This window comes from Homo sapiens, chromosome 13 (assembly GCF_000001405.40).
Source record: "Homo sapiens chromosome 13, GRCh38.p14 Primary Assembly".
Taxonomy (NCBI): Eukaryota; Metazoa; Chordata; class Mammalia; order Primates; family Hominidae; genus Homo; species Homo sapiens.
The window spans coordinates 61,556,109-61,563,602 of NC_000013.11; the positions used below are offsets into that span (position 1 = coordinate 61,556,109).

General features: G+C 35.4%; 2 annotated features.

Annotated features, from left to right (window-relative positions):
- Positions 1,200-2,399: an enhancer, noted in NCBI's record as "MED14-independent group 3 enhancer chr13:62131441-62132640 (GRCh37/hg19 assembly coordinates)". NCBI's record gives its function as "activates an origin of replication core promoter dependent on BRD2, BRD4, P300/CBP and CDK7 cofactors, and independent of MED14, by STARR-seq in HCT116 cells {active_cell/tissue: HCT116}" and the evidence as "EXISTENCE:reporter gene assay evidence [ECO:0000049][PMID:35650434]".
- Positions 1,665-1,865: a silencer, noted in NCBI's record as "peak2075 fragment used in MPRA reporter construct". NCBI's record gives its function as "represses an SCP1 promoter by STARR-seq MPRAs in K562 erythroleukemia cells {active_cell/tissue: K562}" and the evidence as "EXISTENCE:reporter gene assay evidence [ECO:0000049][PMID:32103011]".

Below are 7,494 nucleotides of genomic sequence, written 5' to 3' on the forward strand. Positions count from 1 at the left end.
TTTTCTGCCTTGTACTTATGTCAAAAATAATTAAGTCAAATTTGCTTCTTGAGTCTTTTAAAGCATGTGCTAAATTTATTTTATTAGCTCACACACACTGTAAGATAGATTCAATGAGGTTTATGTGATATTACGTTAGTACATAAAATTGTCTAGTTTTACAGACTGGTTACTCTAATATCTAAAAGAAATCAGCTTTTTCAAATGGCATGCCTAAGTCAAATGAATAAAGAGAATGGTTTTGTGATCTTTCCTTACCAAGTGAGAAGAAATAGGATATTTACTTACTTCTAAGTACATGAACACCAAATATGCTTTTTAAAAAAGTGTTTTATAAATGGTCCAGAGAAAGAATCTAATGCACATAATAAATACTTTCAACTAATGAGGAAATTTCAAAACTGTTCAGTAATTTGTGCTCTGGGCTTCTCACATGATGAAAGCTGAGTATTCTGGAAAGTAGAACACTGGGACTCTAACATTCCACCCTAACACTCTAAATAAGGCTCCTAAATCATAAATTGACATAATATTTCTTATGAAAGAAATATCAACTTTTTAAAAAGTCATTTGGAGTTTAAAAAGCATGTTCCTTTCTCTAATTTGTAATTTATCATCAACTTTACAAAATTTGAAGTTATTTTATTTAATGTAATAAACAACTTCCTGCACACTCAGTTTTCATCTTTATTGCCCATAGCAATAGTAATGTAATAAGGAGATGTACAATTTCCAGACAGATAAATATGGATTTTTTACCAGGCACAGTGACTAACACCTGTAATCCCAGAGCTTTGGGAAGTCAAATCAAGAGGATCACTGAGGCCAGAAGGACTTCAAGAACAGCCTGGGCAAAATAGTGAGACCCTGTCCCTTCAGAAACATTTAAAAATTAGCCTGGTGTGGTGGCTTGTGCCTGTAGTCCCAGCTACTCAGAAGGTTGAGACAGGAGGATTGCTTGAGCCCAGTAGTTTGAGGCTGCAGTGAGCTATGATCACACCACTGTATTTCAGCCTGGGTGACAGGGTGAGACCCCGTTTCTAAAAAATAAAAATTTATATAAATAAACAAATTTAGATTATTTAAAACTGGCAGGGACAGTTTTTTGTCAATAGAATCATTTTACTATGCACATTCTATGTGTCTTGTCTAATAATGCTGGCTACATCTGTGCTCAGAGAGTTGTATGTACAGACACGTGTGAAATAAAACAATTCAATAATTTAATTTAATCTGTGTAGACTTTTTTATATACTTCAAGTTTTATATAGACTTTTAGACATCAAATTTTATTTAAAGTTAGAGAAAACTTAGAGAAACAGCAGAGGAAGTGCATGTATACTTGTCAAAGAAAACGTCATTTAAGGCTGGGCACAAGGGCCCACACCTGTAATCCCAGCACTTTGGAAGGCCAAGGAGGGAGAATCAGGAGGTCAGGAGATTGAGACCATCCTGGCTAACACAGTGAAACCCCGTCTCTACTAAAAATACAAAAAAAAAAAAAAAAAAAAAAAATTAGCCAGGCGTGGTGCCTGGCACCTGTAGTCCCAGCTACTCGGGAGGCAGAGACAGAGAATGGCGTGAACCCGAGAGGCGGAGCTTGTAGTGAGCTGAGATCGCACCACTGCACTCCAGCCTGGGTGACAGAGCGAGACTGTCTCAAAACAAAAACAAAACAAAACAAAAAAAATTCCAACTAGGGAAGAACCTAATTAACATTTAACAAGCTCTACACAAAAGTCATAAAATAAAATACAGTTGAATAGAAGAGATAAGGAAAGGCAGGGTGTTATCTATTAATTTCACTTATGAACATAGTGTTACCTGCAGGTCTTTTTTCTTAGAGTTCCCAAGATGGTGGCAGGCTGCTCCCAAGGGCGCTGCTCCCAAGATGGCGGGAAGCCTTTTGTTCTCTGACCTGGGGTTCTTGGCCTCACAGATTCCAAGGAATGGAACCTTGGGCCATGCGGTGAGTGTTATAGCTCTATTAGAAACCGTGGGTCACAGAAGAGAACTGTGGAACCCAGCAACTAGTGTTCAGCTTGATTAGGATGAACCCGGGCACTTAGCCGTGCAGGAACAACGGCGAGCCTCTAGCCCCATTAGGAACGGCAATGGGCGCCTCCTGGATCAGAAGCGTAGGAGACACGCTGCTGGATCTGGTGGGGTGGAAGTCAGCAGCGGGTCTGCAAGGGCAGTGATCAGCAGTGGTGGACGGCGACTGAAAGCTCAGCTCGAGCCAGAACAAGCCAGAACAAAAACGGACTAGAAGAGTGTGAAGTTGCAAGATTTAACAGAGTGAAAACAGAGCTCCCACACAATGGGAGGGGACCCAAAGCGGGTTACAGCTACTGGATCGAATAATGCCTGGGTTTTTATCCCGATCATTGTCCCTCCCGCTGTGCTCTCAGGCGATAGATGATCTGATTATTTCTTTACCCCCTGCTTTTAGCCTAACTGGTATTTTAGTGAGCTTTCTTTACTACCTGATAGGCTGGGTGTGAGCTGAGTTACAAGCCCCGTGTTTAAAGGTGGGTGCAGTCACCTTCCCCAGCTAGGCTTAGGAATTCTTAGTCGGCTTAGGAATTCTTATTCAGCCTAGGAAATCCAGCTAGTCCTATCTCTCAATAGCGTAACCTTTGATGAAGAGGTGGACAATATTTTTAAAAACTTTGTGGTATACAACTTTAATGGGGTTTGTTGACGAAAAGAGTCAAACTCTATAAAATATTTTAAGAGATTTATTCTGAGCAAAATATGAGTGACCATGGCCCGTGACACAGCCCTCAGGAGGTCCTGAGAACATGTGCCCAGGGTCGTCAGGGTACAGCTTTGTTTTATCTGTTTTAGGGAGGCATGAGATATCAATCAAATATATTTAAGCAGTACATCGGTTTGGTTCAGAAAGGAGGGACAACTCAAAGACTTCCACGCTATAGGTAAATTTAAACATTTTCTGGTTGACAATTGGTGAGTTTGTCTAAAGACCTGGGATTGATAGAGAGTAACGTTCAGGTTAAAGATAAAGGATTGTGGAGACCAAGTTTTATTGTGCAGAAGAAGCTCTCAGATAGCAGACTTCAGAGAGAGCAGATTGTAAATTGTTTCTTATTGGACTTAAAAAGGTGCCTGGCTCTTAGTTGATTATCTCCTGGATCTGGAAAGAAAGGAAAGAAAAGAAAAGGGGAAAGGGATTCTCTATAGAATGTGGATTTTTTTTTCCCCCAAGAGACTTTGCAGGGCAATTTCAAGGTATGGCAAGGAAGTATATTTTGGGGTTAAATATTTTTTTCTTGTCTCATAATGTTATGCCAGAGTCGGATTGAAAACTAAGTCACAATATATAGGGTCAAATAAAATCCATCTGATGAGAATTTATGGTTTGTAGGGCATGGCTCCTTAGACCCCTTAGGTAGGAATTTGGGTAAGATAAAATATCAGAGCTTAGTCCTCAGGTTATTCACACACAGGGACTATCAGGAGGTTGGAAGAGAAATTTATGAGTGTGGGAGTAGGAAGAAGAGCACCCCTCTTTTTTTTTTTTTTTTTTTTTCCTGACGCAGCCTCTTAATTGGGAGAGAGGAGTTCTGGAGGCAAGCATATTTGGCAGCTCCAGAGTACAGGTGAAGAAAAATAAGGGTTGGCCGGGGGGTGGGGAGGGGAGGAAGAAGAAGAAAAAGGCCTATAAGTTGACAAATTTATCTTTAACCTTACTTCTCATTTAAGTGATTAACTCACCAAGAAGCAGGAAGAAATTGACATTCACATAGTAGATATGGCACTGGGTGCCTAAATACATTTACACACCAAAATATTCTCAGGTTATAGCTGTGTTGTTCCAGTTCCCTCTATGAGACCCTCAGGGAATTGAATAAAACTAAATACCATCAACGCACTACCCTTCAAACGAATTAAAAAGGAACTATTCAGTTAGAGCCTGGAGACAATCAAGGGAGGAAATAAATTCTACCCACAAAGACAAAAGGGTATAGCAGGTCCATAATTACCTGTAGAGTAAGATAGCTTTAATGAGATTTGGGGTAATGATACATTAACACAAACAGTTGTCTAGTTCTGTAGTTTGGTAATTAAGTCAACTTTTAAAATTAGCATAATTTGCTGGGCGTGGTGGCTCACACCTGTAATCCCAGTACTTTGGAAAGCCAAGGTGGGCATATCACCTGAGGTCAGGAGTTCGATACCAGCCAGGCCAAGGTGGTGAAACCTGACTCTTCTAAAAATACAAAAATTAGCTAGGAGTGGTGGTGGGCACTTGTTATCCCAGCTAATCAGGAGGCTGAGGCAGGAGAATCGCTTGAACCCAGGAGGCAGAGGTTGCAGTGAGCCGAGATCATGCCACTGCACTCCAGCCTCGGCAACAGGAGCGAGACTCCATCTCAAAATATATAGAGAGCATAACTATGTTAAATAAATAAAGGGAATGTCTGGTGATCTCGTGGCAGAAAAAAATCACTTAGGGACACTGAAAATATAGATATTATCCTCACATTAGAGATATGGTTACAATGCCAGTGATAAAAATGCATACATTTTCTTAAACTCTTTTTTCTTTCCAAATTGAAAAAAAATCTAAATATTAAAATAATTTTAAAATATTCTAGGTACACTGGACACACAGCCAGGTGGCACAGATTGAGTTTTCTCTTTTCTGCTTATAAATTCATTGTTATTTTACAAATGAACAGAAAAATCTTATTGAAGGTGCTAGTATATATACGGTAATTAAACTGATTCACTGTTATGGTGATCCCATAGCTTCGATTTCATAAATGGACTACAGTAATTTAGATCAGAGATTGTCCAGATGAAAGCACGTATTATCCCATACTCTAGGCAGCATAATCATTACTTTCTTTGCTACTATTCTGCTCTCTTCTATCTCTTTTTTTTCTACATTTATTTGGCTCTGATCACACTCTCCACACTATCCAGGTCTCTCTCTCTCTCTCTCTCTTTTTATTCTTCTATGTTCTTTGGTAAATGGAAATTTTCCTAGTTTTCTCCACAATCTCCCAAGGAAATAAGAGACATTAGAAATGTAGTATCAGGAGTTTGAACATCAGATATTGCTAGATGAGTCTTTAAGAGAAACAAAAAGCCAAACAGATTTACTAAAACTGCTGTCTATAGACTTGATGGAAACCTAGTAGAAGGCAATTAATTATTTCATAACAAATAAACAACACCCTTCCTAATTCCCTAGTTAGCCATGGTTTAGAACTTCATCTTAAATGTAATCTATTTAAAAGAATCTGTCTCACTTTCACTAATACAAATTCGTGCAGATAATTGAAAAAATAACCAATACACCAATTATAAAAATATAATATTGTTTATTTTTATTCCATGTGGTGTATCAGTAAGGATAACTACGCAGCGGTCCTCTAGTTTCTGTGGCAGTAAGCAATCTATACACAGTCACCTTGGTAAAAAAAAAAAAAACTGGTTGTTTTTACAATATATTATGCAATTTCCAGCGCAGGTTGATAATACAGAGATAGAAGAAATGAACAATGATATTTAAGACACTGCCTAATACTTAAAAAGATTAAATACCAGATGTTAAAAAGGTATCAAATTGAAAATAAAAGAAACTGATATGACCTCTATTGTTTAAGTGGTTCTATTGAATAAAAGCATAAAATGAGCATCACAGGCAATTGTTCCCAAGATCAGGTGTAAAATAAAAGGTAAAGTGAAATTTTAAAATCTTTTAACTTAAGTAAAAATCTTCCACTTTTCTAAATATCTAAAATGTTTAGTTTTTAAAAGTACACCATTGACAAATTCCTCAGAAGTTATTTTCTCCAGAATAAATTTTAATTGTCTAGGTCAGAAGTTAAAAGATAAGATTTAAACAAGTTTATGAGTGGAACAATTGAAAGTTGAAAACAAAATATAAATATAATAAAAACAGATTAAGGAAATTTAAAAAGAGAAAAGATGTGATAAAAGTACTCAGAAAATGTTTTTCTCTTTTTTTATGAGGAAGAGGATTTTCCATTCTTGAGCATTACAATATTTAGATCTAAAAATAATTTTTTCTCATTAAATGTTACTTGATAGTTTTTTATACTTTTTTTTTCTACTTATCTTGGTTAATACATGTAAATCGATGATTAACATATAAGTCCTAATTAGTTTACTATCTAATGAACAATAATGTATAGTTCAATGTTTAATGACATCTTACTTTGAAAGAATATATTACAAGTTTTTAGGAAATTTTCTTTATGCCATATATTTAAGTAAACCACTAAAAACATCAGTGACTTGGCAATCCTGAAAAATATGTAATGATGTGATACAGCAATCATTCTTAGGAAAAACTAAATGAAAATTTGCAGTTAGTGGATAATTTCATTATTAAATGAAAATATTTAAATAATCAACATTGCAATAAACAATTATTACATGCCAAATATTTTAAATACATGCTGTGTGAGGGATGTTTTCCTAATTACATCATTACCGAAATTTCTCAGGTTGCAGTATCTTACACATTAGTAGTAGTACTATATTTCATTTTATTTAAATTTTTAGCTGCCTTGCAGTTTAAGAAGCACAACTATCTTTGGACTAATGGGATTTAAACAATGAAATGAAATCCCTGACTCTAATGCTTCTTTGCTTGAAATATTCTCTTTCAGATGATGGCTGAGTGCACCAACTCACTAGGTGCTATTTTTACTTCTATGATTCCATGGTAACAAATTATCTTCATCTTACCCAGGGTTTCTCACATAAAATCCTCTAAAGTAAGGTTGATCTGTAGGTAATAACACAGAACCAAGTAAAATGATTTATTTTTGAGAATGAATTAAAATTAAACAACATGCAGTTTGCCCAGAACCCAAGTAGAGAAAAGAAATAACTCTAAGAGAAAAGTTCTAATACTAAATTTGGTTGGCTTGTACCTGGAGAAACCTAAAGCAGAAATTTCAATGCTTCATTTTATATAAACAACTACTTGTTGCCTATACAGTAAGTAAACATACTTATGTTTTTTCAACATATTTGGATGATATAGGTAAATTATTTTACATAAAGACTATACATTAAAAAGTAGGAAAAAAGTCTAAATTTTGTACATGTCCCAAATTTAGCATATTTAGAATTACAGTACAATAAAATGTTTTATATGTAGACTTAACATGAAAATTCTTCAAGTTGAATTCAAAATGAATTCAAATGTTTTATAACAATGGGACCCAAATTTTTTCTGTGAACTCAGTTTTATAGCAAGATAAAGCAAAAAGACTATTTTTATTTACACTATATTTAATTTTGCTTTAATGCTTATTTTATAATTTCAGAGAGTTGAGGTAGAATTTATAACTTCTTTTTATGTCAGAAATTTAAGATAAAGTTATAGTCTGTAATAGTATATTTTAATGTTTGTTATTTCTTTATATGTGTATACATAATTTACTAAATTATTTCTCTTTCTTTGGATGTATAGGCTATTTCAGT